At 38.3% G+C, this 21593-nt stretch overlaps 1 protein-coding gene across 8 annotated transcripts in view; it reads left to right on the top strand.

Moving 5' to 3' along the window:
* Positions 1–21593, top strand: part of CTNNA3 (catenin alpha 3) — a 1851072-nt gene that overhangs the window by 917309 nt on the left and 912170 nt on the right. The window contains exon 1 of one of the 8 annotated variants that reach the window (XM_017016157.3): positions 7684–8338. The exons of the other annotated variants lie outside the window; for them this stretch is intronic. The gene's annotated coding sequence lies outside the window, so the exon portion shown is untranslated. Of the gene's footprint in view, positions 1–7683; positions 8339–21593 lie in introns of those variants that run through there. 8 annotated transcript variants of the gene reach the window in all.

The following is a 21593-nucleotide window of genomic DNA, read 5'->3' as shown; positions in this document are numbered from 1 at the left end:
ATCACTATACTCTGCTTCTATGAGTTTGACTTTTTAGATTTTACGTATAAGTGAGATCATGCAATATTTGTGTTTCTGGGTCTGGTTTATTTCATTTAGCATAATGTCCGCCAGGTTCATCTCTGTTGCAAAAGGCAGGATTTCCCTTTTTTTTGAGACAGAGTCTCGCTCTGTCACCCAGGCTGGAGTGCAGTGGCACAATCTCGGCTCCCTGCAACCTCCGCCTCCCGGGTTCAAGCGATTCTCTTGCCTTGACCTCCCGAGTAGCTGGGACTATAGGCACATGCCACCATGCCCGGCTAAATTTGTGTATTTTTAGTAGAGACAGGGTTTCACCATGTTGGCCAGGCTGGTCACAAACTTCTGAGCTCAAGTAATCTGCCAGCTTCGGCCTCCCAAAGTGCTGGGATTACTGACGTGAGCCACCGCTTACAGCCAGGATTTCCTTTCCTAAGGTTGAATAATATTTTATTGTGTGTGTACACCTATATACATACATATATATGTGTGTGTGTGTGTGTGTGTGTGTGTATGTATATATATCTCACCTTTTTAGTTTTTTTTTTTTTTTTTTTTTTTTTTGAGACAGAGTTTTGCTGTTGTTACCCAGGCTGGAGTGCAATGGCGCGATCTCGGCTCACCGCAACCTCTCCCTCCCGGGTTCAAGCGATTCTCCTGCCTCAGCCTCCTGAGTAGCTGGGATTACAGGCGCCTGTCACCACGCCAGGCTAATTTTGTATTTTTAGTAGAGATGGGGTTTCTCCATGTTGGTCAGGCTGGTCTCGAACTCCCGACCTCAGGTGATCCACCTGCCTCGGCCTCCCAAAGTGCTGGGATTACGGGCGTGAGCCACCGCACCCAGCCTATATATCACATTTTTATGTATCAGTTTTAGTCCATTACCATATCTTTGCCAACACTTGGTATCTTTTGCCTTTTTGACAATAGCCATTCTAACAGGTGTGAGGTGATATCTGCTGTGCATTTCCCTGATGACTAGTGATGTTCAGCCCCTTTCATGTACCTGTTGGTCACGTTTATGTCTTCTGTGGAGAAATGTCGATTCAGGTTATATTCAGTGCATACCTTTGTTCTTTCTTTCTTCTCATTGCCTAGTATGCCATCCTTTATTTCTCCATGTCAGTGCAAAGTCTACCCATTTCTCAAAGCCTCTTTCATGTCTTATTTCCTAAAGAAAGTGTGTTCTCTATTGTTGGTATAATTTGTATTCTTCCTTACAAATTGTTTGTGATCTTTAGACTTGCATGGTTTGTGGTCCTACAAAATAAATGTAAATATTATCTTATACCTTTACTTGTTCTCATTCCACCCCTTTCTATACCACCCAACATGTTCTTCCTATTTGAAACCAGGTTTATTATAAATGAAATATATCAATTAGAAGGAAGGACACTTAACCATTCAAAAAGTTAGGGCCATAGTAGGGGGTTATCTTTAAACAAATATTGCAAACAAGTGTTTGTGAGAGAATATCAATTTAGTCCCTGTTCTACTACCAGAGAGGGGGCTATTGCATTGTAAATCATCAACTCTGTCATGTAATGTAATGAAAAGAAACAGCATGAAAATATTCTCACTGACACACATGGTTTGATTCATGAAACTATTTTTTCATAACTCTTAGATTACTGACTGACTCCTTAATATAAATCTTTCTGAAGATTCCACAAAGGACTAGCTAATCACTGAGTGAAGAAGAGCCTTTACATGAGCCAAATTCCCAAGATTTAAACAAGAAATATTACATGTATGTAAAAACCAGTGACATAAAGACAGTAATTTGCAAGCAAGGTCCAAGGAACTCTGGGGATTTCATAGAATGCCATGAGGTTAAGTTGTTTTCCCAGCCATTAATTTTACAAGTCTCACCAATCAATAGGCTACTCTGTTAGCAAATAATGACTAATGCTAAACAGAAACATGAAAAGGATACACTACTTTCACTCAGGTATTGACTAAGAATAACCAAGGAATAGAACATACCCTGTAATTGAACTGCCTAATGAATATTATTTGGAAAAACCATAAACTACTCAAAAAGAACAAGAGTAGTCATTCGGATTTAAGAAAGTGCCTAATTCTTTTAAACAGTGCAATCTAAGGGTACACAGTAAATTCTTATTTAGAAGAAATCTAATCTAATTAGAAGAATTTATGCCTAAATTCAAACAGTAGTACTTGGAAATATTACTAGCCAGCTATACAAGCTTGGTATTTTCCGACAAGAGGCAAAACAGGGCTCTCTGGATCCAGACATTTATAGCTATAATAGAGATATTATTGTTCTCCAATAAATGCCCTATTGGGCATCAATTATTTGTCAAACAAAGAAATAAAAGAAACTGGTTACTCTTCATCTTCCGTTAGTGAATATAGAATATTTTAGGTTCTGTTTCTGAATGAAAATGCTGATAAATACTGCACTCCCTTTCTCACCAAATCAACGTTCCAAAAACAATTCATGAAATGAGAAAGGAATGAAAAAAATTGCCTGAAGACCCGGATGGTTGAAAAGAATGAGAAATAAAAGGGTCATGTCCTTCTCTGTTAGTAAGTAATTTCTGATTCTGAAGTTAGGCATTTGAAAAACATGCCCAAATTCTCTTCTCCTTTGGTTTTTGTGATTCTGCCTCATCAAGATGCTTTCCCTACTCTGTCAAGTTCCTCTGTTGTCTCTTTCCTAGATGACTTTCTATTCCCTTATGGTCACATTCTTTCTGCACATCCTCAGAAGTCTGCTCTTTCCCATCAAAGAAATCCATTTCATAGCTTAATCTCATCATCTGTTTGAGTGATGATTCACAAAGTACAGTGCACCCCTGGTGTTTATCAGGCACATCTCACATTTTCTGTCCCATCTTTTGCTCCTGATTCTTATACCTGGATGCCTTTACACATATGCAAATGCTTTCCAGTTGTTCATCTCAAACTTTGCCTGCTTGTTAAAGAAATATGCAGTTTGCCTTTGGAGTGACAGGGGTCTGGGATTGAATCCTAAGAACTACTGATCCCCTGTGATCGTGAGCCCGTAAACCCCCCTGAGCTTGGTTTTCTCATTTATAAAGTGAAGATGTCAGGTTTTGGACCCTCTTTCAATCCCTTCATGAGCTACTGTATTGTATTCCTTGCTTTCTGTTTCTCTGCCAATCTACATCCACGTCCTTTTGCTTACACAGGGTATTGATTTTCCAACCTCTGTCTCTGTCTAGGGGAGAGAGTTCTGGAAAATCCTTTTGGTCTGTTTAGTCTGGGAGAGAAGTACCTGTACACTAAGTGACTCTTTGCTCTGGATTTGACTAGCCCCTCTTTCATGAGGTCTTGTTTTGGTGCACCTTATTTTAGCCAAGCGCTTCCTGGTTTGAGTCAGCCATATCAAAATCTCTTAGGGCAGGCAGTGCTCAGGGAGCCATAATTCAGTCTCTTCAACCTCAGTGTTTTCATCCCTTTCATGGAAGGGTCATCTTCTCTTTCCCTTCTAGGTTTCTGAAGAGTTAACCCTGAATATAACAATTTCCCAAATTTCTGATGCCCTTAGCTATAATGCAAAAATTATACTTAGAATAAAATCACAACAGTGATCCTACTACATTTCAAACTGCCAGTTAGGCCTACAAACCACCCCTTCCTCATTAATCACACATCACTTCATATATTTATGTATCACCATGCCCACCTGCAGCCCTTAGTCAGCAAAACCAATTAAGTTCTTCTCTACTTGCTTTGTGGCTACATAACCACACTGACCAGTTTAGATTTCAGCGAATTTTAATTTTCCCCATCTTACTTTCCTCTTGGGTTACTGGCATTGATTCATCATGTGATTCTGTTCTCTTCTACTTCTCAATACGAGGCAGTTAATCTTTCAGATTGGTTTCTTCCTGATTCTTCATGCCTATTTCTTATTCCTGCCTTTCGTTGTTTTTCCTTTTTGTAGTAATTCTTTTCATCTGATTGTGTCTATATATTCCATTACAATACTAATATATTATTTGAAAGGTTGATGTGTAGATTAAGAAAGTAGCAGCTGGGCATGATGTCTTACACCTGTAATCCCAGCACTTTGGGAGGCTGAGGCAGGAGGATTGCTTGAGCCCTGAGGTTCAAGACCAGCCTGGGCAACATAGAGAGACTGCATCTCTCCAAAAAAAAAGAAAAAAAGAAAAACGAATTTAGCCAGGTTTGGTGTGCGTGCTGTGGTCCCAACTACTTGGGAAACTGAGTTGGGAGGATTGCTTGAGCCAAGAAGTTGAGGCTGCAGTGAGCAGCCTCTGCACTCCAGCCTTAGTGACAGAGTGAGACCCTGTATCAGGAAAAAAGAAAAAAAGTAGCACATGGGAAATTCTTTCCTGCCACAGAGGTATAGTCTTTCCTACCTTTGACCCTCATAAATCATTTTTTCATATCCATTTTATGGCAGTTGTTAGTATACTTTATATTTGTTTGTGTAAGTGCTTAATTGTGTTTTCAAAAAATGTATTACCCATACATTATACTAGCCCATTTATGAACCTAGCACTTGTTAGCCCTTAGTGCATGATTATTGATTTGAAATGCTTTATTCACTCATTACATAGAGAATGCTTTGATTCAACAAAATACTTCTATGAATGGTTGCATAGACAGACTTAATTCATAAGTCCCCCTGTTTTGCTGAGCCATCCCTCTACTCTGGGAAATAAGGGTTGACTACCTAATGCTATTTTTATTGTAATCTTGACATTTGAAACCAATGACCAATATATCAACATTCTTATAATTTATTTAATGCAGCTACTTTTTCCAAAATAAGTTCATTTAACATAAGCATTGTCAATCATCCATTTGAATGAATTGGAAGGAAAGCTAATTAAATTGATGAATACTTGTTTTAGTTTTAATCCCTTTAAGAATATATAAAAACTGCAACTATTATAACTCCTCAGACACTGTGTAGTGGAGTTTTAATTAATAGATAAGGATGATCTCTAATTAGCTCATCAAAATACTTTAAACAGTATCAACCCTACATATACTGCAGTTACACCGTTTGTAAGTAAATAGACACTTCTAAAGCACTTAAAGACCAGTTTGCATTCTTAGGAGAGTAGAGGTGCCCTCAACCTTTTTCATTATGTGGTTAATTTATTTATTCATGCTTCTCTTCTTTTAATAGGGAAAACAAGGAAAAAAAGCAATCTAACATAAGTTTGATTATCTCAGTCAACATTCTGACCCATTCCAAATCAGTATAGTTCAAATTAATGTGGTTTCCTGAATATATATCATAGAACAGGTAACATACATGATTGTAGAATGACAAAATTAGAAAGAAACCTTCCTTTCAGATCAGTTATTCTAATCATCTCATTTTACAGATGAGGAAGAAATTGATTTACTCTATAGTTCCTATGGTTAGTCACGGGCTAAGCCATGCTTCTCTTTGGCTATTCATAAGTCTTAATTCTGTCCTTTGTGGAAACAAACAAGCAACAAAATAGGACAGAGAGAGAGAGAGAACAAATATGAAATTGAAGATGTATCTTAAGTTTTAAAAAAGAGAACAGCCTTGACTATTATTTTGATATACAGACCTTGGGAAATTCTACATTGAAAGCAAATAAATTAGAATTTCGAATTCATGTATTGAATGAAAATAGGGTACTGTTATTCTGCAAAAGATATGACACATCACTTTCAAGACTTCTTTCACTCATCCAACCTTGACTAGGTTTCATTTTGTTTCTCTGATTTTACAAAGTTTCAGGTACATCAGGTGCTGAGAATACAAAGCAAATAAAATATAGGTGATATGATACAGGTTTGCAAAGGGTGTAAATGCAGTACTGAGGAAGGACTTCCAACCTATACCGAGGGGTGTGTGTGTGTGTGTGTGTGTGTGTGTGTGTGTGTGTGAGAGAGAGAGAGAGAGAGAGAGAGAGAGAGAGAGAGAGAGAGAGAGAGATGGCTTCTTGGAAGAAGAAATGCAGGATCTAAGTCCTTAAGTTAAGGGTAAGCCAGAGTCTGCCTGACATTATCCATAATGTGAAGGAAATAACAGTTGAAAAAATATTCCATCTAATTCAGTCAGTCTACTCTGATCTGGGATCATTTGCCCCTTGTTGGGCAGTGAGGGCTTCTTGCATTTCAGCATGAACAATAATATTGCAGCCAGAATGTGTTTTAAGTAATTCTCCTTAGCTTCTCAAGTGGGCATCACCTGGCCTATTCGGGATTAGTTTTTGAAGCCACATAAAATCTTTCAAATTCAGATAACTTGAGGGATTTTCATTACCAGAGCTAATTAATGGGTGAAGACCTACCACCCCAAATCAGATACTTCAAACATCTAAATTTCACAGACAACTATGAATGGGCAGTGTAGATTCCTGGTTAGAGCTGATATCATCAAAAGTCCTGGATTTCACTAAGGAGTAAAGTGTATAAATTATTAAGACAGAAAAACATGATCTTGTGTTTATTTATATGTGGATTATATCTGCCTGTTATAATTTGTTCTCTTTTTCTGTCCATATGTCTCTTTATTTTGATTTTCCAGTTTGTGTTTTTCCGAATGTTCTTTTCTGAGATGTTTGAGGATATTAGGAGATTGACATCTGAATATTCATCCTAAGTGCTTTCACATTTCACACTTTTTGCTGTGTGAATATCATGGAAGAGTTGTCTATGTATAATTTTCTGGGGACATTAAGTACTATTTTGGATTCCAGACTAGATAGAACAGATAAAAATTTTTATTATTATGAAGTTTTTGTGTCTTTTTGCTTTGATAAGAGATTTATTGGATTGTATTTCACTAGGTTGCATGGTTAGTAATTCTGTATACTTTTATGCCTTCTCTGTAAGGTACTCATATTCATGTCATATGTCAGCTAAGAACTAGAATTTTTGCCATCCTGTTTTTCATTTTCTAGGTTATGATCTTTCTTTGGTCACATTTCTGACAGCTACCCCTTCTCTCCTTTCCAATCACCAGTATAAACCCATAGCTCAAACATCATCAAGTAGGTAATCAGCAGTGGTCACTGACAAATGTCACAGAATAAAGAGAATCAGATTTGAAAGGCTCAGCTCTAAAAAGCAAACCAAGGTTCAGCCACTCATTTAAAACCTTCTGTGGCCCTTTGGCATTATCACAGACCATTCTATTTGATACTTTCACAACTTTCAACTATTTTAAATATCAAACTTCTCTGTTCTTTCAGAACTTACTCTTGATTCTGTTTTTTTTTTTATAAGTATGAATGTATTGGCATACATCGATAACATAGGGTACAAAAGTCTTCGCCAAAGAGAAACAGAAGGGAGAATGAAATAGTGATAGGCTTTGGGGCTACCCAAGGACTTAGAGATCATCCTGTCCAACTTCTTATAAGCACCAGCCTGAAATAGTTCAGTGATTAGTCTGAGGTAATAGATTAGTTACTTTTTCCTGCTGGTTCCAGAATACAGACTTGCATTTTGCTCAGTGTTTATTCAGCGAAGTCTTAGTGCTTCTACATCAATGCATTCAATGTAACAAAAATGTATTAAGTAGGTTCTATGCACCAGGAATTGATAATACAGCAGTGTAAAACACAGCAGCTCAGCACATTTCCTCTCCTAGAGAACCGTAAAGGCTAGTCCTGGGGGCAGGTGGGCAAATGTATTATACATATGCTGTCCAAGCCTATGATAGTTATCTCTAACTGATGAAGGCATTTTATTTATTTATTTATTTGCTGAATTTAGACGTGGCTTCACCATCTTCCCCAACATAGCTCTTCAGGCATCCACTATTTATCTTTCAGAATTGTCAAGTACATTAAAACCTATTTATCATCAAAGCACTAATAGTTTTCTTAAAGAATTAGCTTCTAGAAGACAAAATAATGTAACAGTAGTACTAATAATAGATAACATTTATTATTGTTGTAGGTTCTAAACACATAATTACTGAAGCAAAATTGTTTATACATGAATCATCTAACATTACCTCAGTGTGTTCTGAACTGTGGAAAACATGGCTTTCTATGATATCCACTGTTGTGAGTGCTCCTCTGTAATTGATTAATGGTCTCACTCCCTCTCCCTAGTCTGTGGTTCTTGGCCTGCTTCCTATTCTATTAAATCATGCATCACAAAAGACTGCAACTTTTGAGTTTTATCCTAGAATCATAAACAAACCACTCAGGCCTTATTTGCTTGATAGTTTCTTTTGAAAAATGCCTTATTGCCCTAGGTGATGCAGTGAATGAGGGAGAAGACGAATAATGAAGACTCTTCAGATTTAGACCTGTACCGTCACTGGGGTTTGAAATGAGAGAAAGGAGGAACTCAGGTGGGTTTGAAAGCTATGAATATGGAAGAATCTGTAGACAGAGACATGGACAAGTGGCGGCAGAGAATTAGGGATATTTATAGTCCTTGATGACTGTGCAATGGTATGTACATGGCATATAATAATATATATCTTGGAATTCGGTTACTATATGTCCTCAGTGGGACCACCAAAAAAGCTAAGTTCTTGGGACATACCTTTTCCTAAATCTTTGGAAAAGGAGAGAAAGAGAGAGGCAGAACAAATGGAAGCTTAATGTGGGCTGCTGACAGGAAACCCATTTTGCAAAACTGCTTCTTCTTGAATGGCAATTGAATCAACTCACTGTTATCAAGCTTTAAGTGAGTGGGTCCTTGCAGTTGCCAAAATTGAATAGGAAATGCTTTAATTTTGTTCTGGCTGTGGTCCAACAACAAGAGAGACTTCTCAAGTGTGGAATTACGGAGCTGTGCTGAATGACTCCAAGTGAACTCTCTGTAGGTTAAGCTCTTCAGGAAGGGGTCACTGCTTGGTGATGGCAAGTTGGTGAAAGGGCTGGCTGAAAGCTTGGGAAATCTGGTGCTGGTAAACGATACATGGACATGTTATCTTTGTCCCCTAGTACCAGATGAAAATGTGGGTCAACAGTAACTACTTTAATTAGTATGTAGAGAAAATTGTTGTTCAAATGGAGTGTCACATTATCTTTTGCCAAAAGGCTTGTGATGGTTATTCTGTTGTTCGTAGTGGTGAAACTTTCTGATGTTGCTTATTCGATAATAATACTGGCTGGGATTCAAGGTAAGGAGACTCTCTTGATAAGTAAATTTAAGGCAAGAGAATGTCTTAAAGGCAACTGTTTTGCTGATCCACTTTTTTTTTCTCTGCACATTGATCAGGAATTTTTTTACCTTCACAAAGCAAGTAAGACCTGAAGCAGATTTCACTTTTACAGTCACCTTTTGATTATTCAAAGGCTAGTTATCCAGTGTATGAGTAAGGATTCTGACCAGAATTTCTGACAAGACTGGATGATTGGCCAGTTGTGGCAGCATTAATTGCATTAAAAAAATGATACGTGGGGGTAAGGAAGATGTCATGATTTCACCGAGGCAACACAGAAGTTTTTACAGAATACATAGAATTTTATGCAGAATAGTTTAGTAGAGGTTCAAATGGAAAGGAAAGAGGAATCTGTTTTTTTCCTTTCATCTTTTCTTATTGGAACTTATTTAAAATTTCTGAGTGTTTCACTCTAAGAGCATGCATTCCATATTTAAAAAGGAACTGGGTTATTCGCTACATGCCACATAGTGGGTTTGTCACATTTGATATCTGAACTCTTCCTCAGATGGAATCACTTATATTTTACTTTAGGAGCCCCACTGCAGGACTCGCCTGGTAATACAGCTTTTATATTTTGCCATTTACTTTTATGGTATCCCGTTTTCTAGTGGACAGTCTGCTGCCGAAACCATTCCCAAATCAAGTTCTGAGTGTTGGATACTCAGGATAATGGAGCTCCATTTGGGGAAATTTACTATGAGTTTTATTGTGAGAAATGGATCTTCACATGACTCTCCTGCTAAAGAGTCAGTGACTCACCAAACAAGGAAGCAGAATTAAGATGGGGCATCTGTTTGACTCAGCAAATTCCTACTTTCAGGGGACTGTGGAATTTAAACAGTGTGATGCTGCAGGTTTTGCACGTATCAAGTCCAGAGAAATGTGGAGTGGCTACAGAGCTGCACTGGAGCTGGCTAGCAAACATGGACTGTGTACACCTCTACCTAACTCTCAGCTCAGTGACATCATGTTGTAGCTTAATATAGATCATGGTTGAAATATTTGCTACAGAATTGGCAAATGCTACAAATCATTGACTACTTTTTGTTTTCTTCCTGGAAAGCCAGTTATTAAACATTCACCAGCACACCAGTGGTCCAGTACCTAAAAAATTAATTTAATTGTTTTTTTTTTCTCTAGTACAGGTGTTGTCAAAATGTGGTCCTTAGATCAGCAGTATCAGCATCACCTAGGAGCTTGTTAGAAATGCAAATTATCTGGCCCCACCCGCTAGCCTACTAAATCACCCTCTTGGGGTGGGTCTCAGGATTCCCCTTTAACAAGCCCTCCCTCCTAGGTGAATTTGATGTATGCTAAAATATGATAATCACTGCTCTAAGAAAGAGCTAGGTGATTGAGGGAGGAGAAACTATGTTTAATTAACTGTATCATGACCATAATTGAATGATTAATTACCTCATACCTGTCCCATTGTACTTATTAAGCTTTCAGAGATACTTCCTCCACAGATTGCTAATTATAGCACCCACAGTGGGTGGTGGTGGGGGTGTGTCAAAAGTATCACTTCCAGGGTTCATAGCAGATGGAAACACACCATTCATCATCCAGTATTAACTTTCTTCATCTGAAGGCACTGCCAAAGGGCAAGTGATATCAGTAAATATGATAACAGGACTACTATATTTTTAGCTGGCCTAAGAGTCAGAATCCCCTAGAGGGTTTGCTAAACTATTGATTGCTGGGCCCCAGGCCTAAAGTTTCCCATTCCTTGGGTCTGACTGGGGCCTGAGAATTTGCATTTCTAAACAAGTTCCCAGGTGATGATCATGCTGCTGGTCCAGGCGCCACCCTTGAAGACATTGCTCTAGAACATCTTTTGAATTATCTGCTTTGGTGTGAATTCAGCTTCTCAGCTTTTTGTTCTCTCTTATTACATTTATCTTGACTGTAATTTTTCTTTAAGGAGGGTACAGGTCACATCATATAGGGCATGATTTTTAATGTGCAGGAAACTGCTGAGCCCTCCATTTACTGTCAAGAAATTATTCAGAGTCATACTGCACTTTGTCATTTGTCTTCCTTGTCTTACTAAGTTTTTACAGGCTTAGTACTTTGCTATTGTGTCAGATGAAACTCAGATGCTTCCTCACTGCAGTGTCTATGGCCTTATGATTCATACCTTTAACTGCCATCAGATAATTCACCAGGTTGAACAGGGTGTTTCCCCTTTTCTTTGAATAGAATTTACTTATTTTCTTTGAATAGGATAACTTAATGCACCTGAGTTGCATCTTTGTCTTATTGTACTCTCCACAACAGAATAAGAGCTCTTTCTAGTGCATGAAAAGCACAGTTTAAAGTGTTTAGTGGTTTGAACTGTGGTCTAGGGTGAAAAGATTTAAAAGATTTTCACGAGAGCTCTAGCAGGCCTTGCATGCCTTGTTGAGCTCAATCGGGAAATCTACAACTTTTTTCATGAACGCTTAGAATGCAGCATTTGAATATGAGTGGTTCATGCTGTTGACTGTTTCATTTCTTAAAGTCATATCTTCAAATAACTTGTGTTCTCCGCTAAATTGGATTGCAGAGATTTTAGATTAAGACCACTCAGTGACTCAATAGTTGTGTAACCTTGGGTAGGTCACTGAATTTGCTGTATCTCACTTTTCTCATCTATAAAATGGAAATGATGGCATCTGTACTGTTTATTTCATATAACTATTGTGAGGATCACAATGATATCTATGAAAGTATTTTGTCAATTCTAAAATCCTGTGTAACTGTGAAGTGTTATTGTTAATGCCCCTTGTAATACTCAGCACAGTCAGGATACACAGTGGACCCTTAGGACGTAATATCTTGCACATGTATGTGTGTAGCAGGGTGTCTTTTATAGATCTGTGAAAGCCAACACTCAAAACAGCATCTGATTATCTACTTAATAGCTAACCTGACAATTGTATGTGAGTACACATAATAGGTACAAAAGCTGGCTATTAGCTCAACTGTAGAAGGCAGGAAAAGTGGGGGATTGGCTGCAGCCCTTAAAACCTGTATTGGCATTCTCTATCTAGGAACCAGGGAGACATACCAAGGAGCTGAGTGTGTCATTGAAAGAACATGGGAACAATACACCCTATTGTTGGTCTTTGATAAGGTACCTTCCCAATAACATTTTGGCAAGACAACTAGGCTCTTTTTCTTGACAGTAAAGGCCTACTTACTGGGACAAAGGGCGGGATGGGTAAAAGCTTCTTAGGTATTCAAAATAGAAAAATAGCAAGCTGGTGTGTGTGTGTGTTTACAATACTTGAAACAGGATTCGTGAAATCCTATTAGTCCATCTTGAGAAAACACATGGAAGAGGAGCCTTTCTCTCCCTGTTGGGCTCTCTTGGTGTTCAGAAAATTGGATATGTAGTTCACTTGAGATTTTGTAGTACAGTACTGAAACTCATCTCAGTCATGTATTTGACAGCTACCTACACTATCCAGATGAAATAACATAAAAGTGTTGGAGCAAGTGTCTAGGAACACACTACTTCAATACGTATTAGCTTGTTGATGGTGAGTAAGTCAATGAACTTCTCTGAAACTTAGTTTCCTAATCTACAAAACAGAAATAATAAACCCTGACTTGTTTACTTTCTCTGAGTTTCAGATGAAATAATGTGCATAAAATACTTTGTCAACTAAAAAACCTCCTAGAAATGTAATATTTTGTTTTTAAATGCTTATTCTATAAGGATTTGCACGTAGTCAGTGCAATTATGCTTATTATAGAGATATAAACAAGATAGAAAAATGTGGATTGGATGAAAAAATCTTTAGGTGGATTCAATGCCTACTGAACAGTCAATGAAGTAGGTCTTGATTCATGCATTAAGCCTCCTGGCAGACTGGCTAGCAGCAGCTCTGCTCTCCCTATTCAGTGTCCTCACTGTGACCTGAATGAAGACACACAAGTCATGCTCTTTAGATTCTTCAATGATTCAGACCTCAGAGGACTACCTAGCAACATGAATGGCAGATCCAAAATTCAATTTGATCTTAAAAGGCAGAAACAATGATCTGAAAGCACCAAGATAAAATATAACATGGATATAAATAAAATTCTTCTTTTAGAGTAAAAATAATCTATCGCACAAATTCAGGAAGGGGGTGAACTGCCTTGGAGGAAGTTGATATGAGACCATCTGGGGTTTTTAGGTGTCTACAAGCTCAAATAGAATGTGATGCATTTGCTTTGAAGAAAAAAAATTTCTGAATAGAAAAATATGGCTGCTTCCTCCAGTGATCTAGTGCTCAGAAATCTAGCTACTGAGTTAGGGGATTAGAGCTCTGGTCCTCACTCTGCCAATGTCTCACGGTGTCACCTTGCTAGGGTCATTTAATGTCTCTTAGCTTCAGTTTTTCTGACCTTTAAAATGAGAAGTTTAGGCTGAGTTATTTCTGGATTGCTACTAGCTAGAAGAATCTGTGACTTTGAGTTGGGTCATAAAAAAACCTTTTCTTCTTCCTTTTTTTTTTTTGAAAATTGATATATCCACAACTAGTAGGAAGACAAACTGATTACAGGAGAATAATTGAGAACTAAAATTATAACGTGTATATCTTTTTATTTTCTCAGTGATTGTGGCATTAATTTAATTTTGTTGGCTTAGTAAATGGCCTCCTCAAAAACAATATATTTTTCAACTTATTTTTCTTAACTGGTGTGCCTTAAGAACTTTTTCCGGAACTTCAAATTTTCCCGTAACTTTCAGGTACAAATCCCAGCAGGGTCCATCTGGCTCACTTTCCTTCTAAGACAGATAAATTGAGCTGTGTGTGCTTTTACAGTGCGTGATCTTAGATATCTACATGAGACTTTCAAAAATTAAGGCCCTGTCTACTGCTTATAGATATATACAGGGTCTCAGACCTCTCTTTGTAAGAATAACAATTTATCATCAAAACTATAGAGTCATTTTTTCTGCCAAAATGAGTGTAGTTTCTTCCCAACTTATAGAAATATTATGTCTTTGATATGAACTTTAATTGAGCAGTGAATTACTTAGTGGTTTGCAGTGCTTCTGGGTGTTAGAATGTGCTGGGTTTTTCAGGATGAGTGGCTGTGTACGTAGGTATTTTGTTCAGTGTTTCAGAGCACCTGACCAAATTCATTCCTTTCCTTATGCTATTTGTTGATAAAGGATTTGCTCTATATTCCATACAATTGAATTCCTTGTCTTCTTTAATCTGCTTGCCTTATCCTCATTAGTTTTTGAAAGCTTGAACTATGTCTTAAATTGAATGAATTAATCAGAATATCTCATCCCTGAAGATATCAGATAAAAGAGAATTCATCATATTAAAGACATTGTGCTGGAAAAATAGTGGATTGTTTTCATGCTTCTCTCCCTTCTTCCCTCTTTCCCTTTCCTCTCTCCTCTGCTTTCCTGCATCTCATGCTCCTTCCCCTTTTTTTTGTTTCTTCTCTGCACAACTCTTTATTGAATTGCTACTGTGTGCTAGGTAGGCTGAGGATTTACTGTCTAGTAAAATATCCGCTGCTTTCATGGTGCTTATAGTCTAGGAGAGGAATCAAACCAGTAAACAATTGAAGTGCCAACTGGTAGAGAGACAGCTCAGTAATGAAAGCCAGAGAAAGCATCCCAGAAAAGATTTCAAACCTGAGAGGTAAGGGTGGATTAAAAGTTAGTGGAGTGAAAGCTTGGATTGGGCATAGGAAATGTTCTAGACAGAGAGCAAGCGTATGGTAAAGTCTTGAGATGGGAAAAAGCATAGCACAATTAAGAAATTTGAAAAGTCAGAACGAGTGAAGCCTGGCACACAAGGGAAGATGGGCCAGAAATGGGATTGAAGGATCACAAGCTTACAAAGGCCTTACTGCTTATGGATCCAAAGAGCATCAGAGAATCACTGGGGAGTTTAAAGAAATAAAATAACATGATCAGGTTTTCATTTTAAAAAGACCATTGTTTTTCCTGCAGATTAGAGACTTATTTGGAAGGACATAAGATTGATTATTGTAGTAGTCCAGGTGAAAGAGGATGATGGTGATGCATTGGATCAGGGGAGTATTGAAGAGGCTATTTCATGGGAGTAAAGCTTTGGAATCATTCTTTGTTTCATTTTCAGGTAACTGTCTTTAAAGCTGTCATTTAAAAACATATAAAACAAAAATTCTTTTTTTTCCCTTTTTTATGACTTTTTGAGGACATAAAGGTTGCTTAAAGAAGAAATTAGTAGGCCAGGCGCGGTGGCTCACGCCTGTAATCCCAGCACTTTGGGAGGCCGAGGCAGGCGGATCACGAGGTCAGGAGATAGAGACCATCCTGGCTAACACGGTGAAACCCTGTCTCTACTAAAAATACAAAAAATTAGCCGGGCGTGATGGCGGGCGCCTGTAGTCCCAGCTACTCGGGAGGCTGAGGCAGGAGAATGGCGGGAACCCAGGAGGCGGAGCTTGCGGTGAGCCGAGATCGCACCACTGCACTCCAGCCTGGGCAACAGAGCTAGACTCCGTCTCAAAAAGGAAAAACAAAAAAAAAAAGAGAAATTAGTAGTTGTGAGGGGTTGAGGTGTTTAGAATAGAATTCTCCATGCTGCATTGGTTTATGCTGAAGAAGGAGCACGAGTAGAAGCAGAGTGGGAGCTCTGAATTTAAACCCCAGTTTTGCTAGTAATGAGCTCTGGGACTACAGGTAAATAACTTAACCTCTGTCGGTACTTCTTTCAATTCTAATCTTCTAAGATTCTATGAGTGCTCCTGTAAGAAAACTCTAGGAAAGAAAAACCTTCAGGTATTTGTTTGCATTTTAAATATCTTAATACTGTTTTAATCCTTATTGGTACACATATTTAAATTCTAGATTCAACAAGTGAGAAGCTTTGCTAACAGTATCGTAAATCAGAAACTACAAAAGTATTAATCTGGTATTAGAAATCAGGCTGTTTTTCTATCTTGCATACCTGCTTATAGACATGAGAGATTTTGAGGTCTGTGAAATATAAGCCAGAGAAACTTAACCTTTGAGAATGGAAATCTTTAGTGGTGAGACATGAGGTTAACACATAGAGTGGTTTCCAAACTTGGGTCCACTAGTAGTGCCCATTTGGTCACATAAAAATCCCCTGTGGGAGGGCGCCTGTGGTCCCAGCTACTCTGGAGGCTGAGGCAGGAGAATGGCGTGAACCCGGGAGGCGGAGCTTGCAGGGAGCCGAGATCGCACCACTGCACTCCAGCCTGGGGGACAGAGCTAGACTCCGTCTCAACAACAACAACAACAACAACAACAACAAATCCCCTGGGGAGCTTGTTAAAAATACACCTCCCTGGCCTATCCTCATAGTTTCTGATCAGTAGGTGGTGGTGTAAGGCTAATAGGAATGGGTGCTGTAGTCTAAGGCAGTGTTTCCCAAAGTGTGGTTCATGAAATTGCACTAGTCCTTTTTTTTTTTTTTCCAAAATGTTAATTGAAAAAGTGTTTAGAGGTAAAATATATTTGAGAAACACTGTATAATATAATGTCTTTTTTTTTTTTGAGACAGAGTCTCACTCCATCACCCAGGCTGAAGTGCAGTGGTGTGACCTTGGCTCCCTGCAACCTCTGCCTCCCGGGTTTAAGCAATTCTTGTGCCTCAGCCTCCACAGTAGCTGGGATTACAGGTGTGTGCCACCATGGCCGGCTAATTTTTGTACTTTTAGTAAAGAGAGATGGGGTTTTGCCATGTTGGTCAGGCTGGTCTCACTCCTGACCTAAAGTGATCTGCCCACCTCAGCCTCCCAAAGTGCTGGCATTACAGGTATGAGCCACCGCACCCAGCCTATAATGTCTTTTATAGATTAATGTATTCGCATATTACAAATTCTAAGATATCCTACATGAAAGAAAGAGTTAAACTTTATTCCTGTGTTCCTCTGACTCATTTGGCCCTGAACCACTTTTACTGGAGTATCTATTAACAGCCCTTAGAACTTGCTTTCCATAAAGGGAGTTTACAAGGTGTTGTACCAGAGACATTTTTTCTAGCTATTGACATGGAGTGGCCCAAGGATATCCTTCCTTTATTGTTTAAGCAAAGACACACCTTTGTGGAATTACTGAGGGAACACAGATAAATACTTTGGATGCAAAATAGGCAGGTTTATTTTGTCAACAAGCTACCTGGCTGTCATGTGGGTTGTGTGTATTGCATTACATGCCTCTTCACATTTACTCTACGTGAATGGCACCTCCATACAGCTGTGCAGTCATAGTATGCAATCTGGCAAGCCCTCTGTGGCTGCTCTGTCTGACCTGTATGGGGGCTGACCCTGTAACTCTGGTTTCACTAGAATCAGAAATCAATCTTGTGAATTATCTTGGGCAGACTATGACTCTCCAAGTGGTAGGTCCCTAATAATTTGTCTGGAATAGTGCAGTAAAAAATAGTTGGGTTTTAATAAAATGATGAAGCTGTTTCCATAAGCAATACACTAACACTTAAGCGTTTTAAAATAAGTGTATCTTTATTTGCTGTCCTCAGAAGAAGCTGATATTCATCATTAGATATACCATTGGCCAAAATGTGGTTCCTTCATCATTTACCAACAATTTCTTAATAACCACGTGGCAAGCAACATACTGGGCACTGGGGAAGCAAAGGAAAAAAGAATGGTTTCTGCTTTTCAAGTAGAACAGTTTAAGGGAAATTGCCACGTACACAGATGGTTATAATACATTGTGGTAATAGTTACCATGGAGGTAAGTGCAAGGGGCAATTGGAGCATAAAGAATAAAGTACTTAAGTTGGCCTAGGGGAATTAGGAAAGATTTCACAGAAAAAACTAGTTTGGTTTAGTCTGGCTTCTGATTTTTCTTCTGAAACCCTATGCTGAGTCTGCTATTCAGTTACCAGGAGATAGTCTAGATTTTGCTGCCTTGCATATGCTCACGTGCTTTTCCAAAATAAATTGTGTTTATGTAATAATTTTTACCTTTTCTCCTCACTCATCATTTCCATCTTGATATTCCTTTGAATTATACCCCTCACAATAGTGTTAGTTTCAGCTGAGTGTTCACATTTCTGGTACAAGCTAATAGAATTTTTCATTTGCTTTTGCTTTGCAGATGTTGAACACATGGCTCTTAAGCATGGCATTATTCTTATAAGGATGACAGGCTTCAAACATTTTGATTAGTACCTCAATTTTACCCACTTCTCCATTTTGAAGTCAGCCTGTGTTTTATATCATCTCGGTTTCATCTCTTACAAAGCTCTAGTATTCAGAAAGGCAATTTCTTTCTCCACTTTTATGTCTACCAAGTTACTGTGAGACTTTTAGAAAGGTTTTATAGCTTTTACTTTCAGAAATGGAATACTTTACTTAATTTTTCAAAGAGCTCAAAGACATACACCTGTATTGGGAATAAATACACATTGCCTGTTTGCAATATCTTGCATCCATGTAGCATTTTGTAGTTTGTATTTTACCTGCATCATTTTTATGTAACTCTCACAATGCCATTTGAAATATGAGGAAACTGGATCTTAGTGAGGTTTAGTGAGTTATTCCAGATAATATAACTAGTCATGGTTGAGTCAGTGACAGAACCATGACTCAAACAGACTCTGGTTTCCAATTACGAGACTTTTTCCACTATATTGCATAGCAGGACAATATTACTATGTGCTGGGTATAAAGGGAAGCTGAATATGAAGAAGTAGAGTGTTTGGTAAGGCAAAATCAGAAATTGAAAGTATCATTGTTAATGATTTGAGTGGAAGAGATTGTGCAGGGCATGAGAGAAAGCAAGCAAATTAATAAACATGTCTAATATGGGAGGTAAGTATGGTAAAGGAGGGCAAGAAGGTGGAGCTGATTTGGTGTTTGATGAAGCAGCATCATAGCCAGCAGGACAAGTTAAAACAAAAGGAGTAAAAATTGCAAAAGAACACAAGTCAGCAGTGGAGGAAAAGAAAGGGGGCTTCTGAATGCGGGATGGACGTGGATAGAAAGCTGGCCAAGGAGACTGAGACTAGTAGATAGCCTGCAGCTGGAGCCTGTGCCACCTTCATTCTGAGGTTGTGGTCTCTTATGCACCAGTTCTCCATAGCCAAGGTTGATGCTGCAGGTGCTGGTCAAGGAGAAATGTTCAGTAAAGATATAGTCAATTTTTGGAAAATCATAAGTAACTTGGTACAGTACAGCCACACAAGTCATGTCACTGTCTCCAGATGAAAGAGCCAGGCTGGAGGCTGGGAGTGGGACAGTAATTGGAAAGTGGTTGAAGGGTTTAGGTTAAGTTTATTTAGGTTTCTGTGAAAAGCCAGATAAAATGACTACTCCATGACATATAATTGGCATTATACCGTAAGCAGTGATCTAATGTGTTCATTTTCTAAAACTGCAATCACTTTGAAGTTACCAGGATACAATCACAGTGAGAGACAGTTTTTCAGTTTTTAGTAGATTAATGAGCTAAAATATATATCTCAAACTACTTAAAATCAGAGAATACTCATACTATTTCTCAAGTACTCATGTAATAGTTCAAACATTAAATTTGTTTGGAGCTTACTTTTGGCTTAAACCTCAGAAAATAACACAAATCTCTATTATCTTACAGTAATTATAATAAATAAATGTGTAAATAAATAATAAATTAGAAAACAAACATTCTAGGCTGGGCAACATGGCAAACCCCCATCCCTATTAAAATACACAAATTAGCCAGACGTGATGGTGTGAGCCTGTAGTCCCAGCTACTCAGGAGGCTGAAGTGAAAGGATCACTTGAGCTTGGGAGGTTGAGGCTGCAGTGAACTGTGATCCTACCACTGCACTCTAGCCTGGGCGACAGGGCAAGACCATGTCGTAAACAAATAAAAAAACACAAACAAACCAAACATTCAATTACATAGACATGTTTAGCAGGTTTATTGCTCTACCATTGACACAGGGTAAATTGCACATACTAAATGGGTACAATTTTCGTAAGATTGACATATGTCTATCAAAAAGAACTGACAACACCATCAAGAAACATACTGAACACCCCTAAATTTTCCTAGTGCCCTTTTGTAACCCCTTCCTTTTGAAGGAGCAAATGAAAGTTCCTTTCACTCCTCCCCTAAAAATCCATTCTAAATGACACTTGGATAAGAAGGAATTAGGTTGACCACTATAAGCAATTTTATATATACATGTTGAACTAAAAAAGTAGACAGTAGGAATTCAGAGAAGGAAGATTTCAGGAGAATACAGGAGTGTTTTGAAACAATTCTTAGGGCCTGGGGAGCTTGAATTCAATCTGGAACAGGCAGAATGATTTGGGAGAGCATTTTGGCTTTGGGGTAAGGGATGACAAAGCGAAGCCAGAAATGAGGGCTCCACAATCCTGGGACAGTGAGATGACTTCTTTGACCCGAACAGAGGCAGTGTTCTGATGACCTGTAGAAAAAAAAGTTTGGCTAGCTTGTGGAAGATCTTAAATGAGGCTGAGTGTAGGTTTAAGATAAAAAGGAACAATTGAAGACTTTTGTTTTTAACTACGGAAAGTGATTTAATTCATTCATTTATTCATTCATTCAAAAGGCTAGGTGCGGTGGTTCATGCCTATAGTCTCAGCACTTTGGGAGGCTGAGGCGGGTAGATCACTTGAGGTCAGGAGTTCGAGACCAGCCTGGCCAACATAAAGCAAAACTCCATCTCTACTAAAAATACCAAAATTAGCCGGGTGTGGTGGCGCACAGCTATAATCCCAGCTACTTGGGAGGCTGAGGCAGGAGAATTGCTTGAACCCGGAAGGAGGAGGTTGCAGTGAGCTGAGATTGCACCACCACACTCCAGCCTGGGCGACAGAGCACGACTCCATCTCAAAAAAAAAATATATATATATATGTATATATACATTTTTATTTATATAATATATATTGTCATTTATATAAATATATATATCTTAAAATATATATGTATTTTTAAAAAATATATGCTATTTTACACTATATGTCAAGCATTGTTCTAAGTGCTTATGAATGTGCTTTTAATATGTGGCCATTTGTAAGGGCACACTCTGGCCTGTGTGTGAGTGTGTGTGTAATTTGTTTTTCTAAATAATTTTTTTTTTTTGAAAATTTAGATTTACAGAAAAGTTGCAGGAATCTTACAAAGAGTTCTTGTATACATTTCACCCAGTTTCCCCTATTGTTAACATCTGATATAACTATGGTAAATTTGTCAAAATTAAGAAACTGGCATTAGCACATTAATGTTAACCAAACTCCACACTTCATTTGGATTTTCTTAGTCTTTACCTAATGCCCCTTTTCTGTCCCAGGATCCCGTTATGGGATTTAGTCACCACGTCTCCTTAGGTTCTTTAGACGGCGATGACTTCTCAGGCTGTCCTTGTTTTTGATGACCTTGATGGTTTTGAAGAGTACTGGTTAGGTATTTTATAGAACGTCTTTCAATTTGGG

This window comes from Homo sapiens, chromosome 10 (genome assembly GCF_000001405.40).
Source record: "Homo sapiens chromosome 10, GRCh38.p14 Primary Assembly".
Taxonomy (NCBI): Eukaryota; Metazoa; Chordata; class Mammalia; order Primates; family Hominidae; genus Homo; species Homo sapiens.
This window is presented reverse-complemented; position numbering and strand designations above follow the sequence as displayed.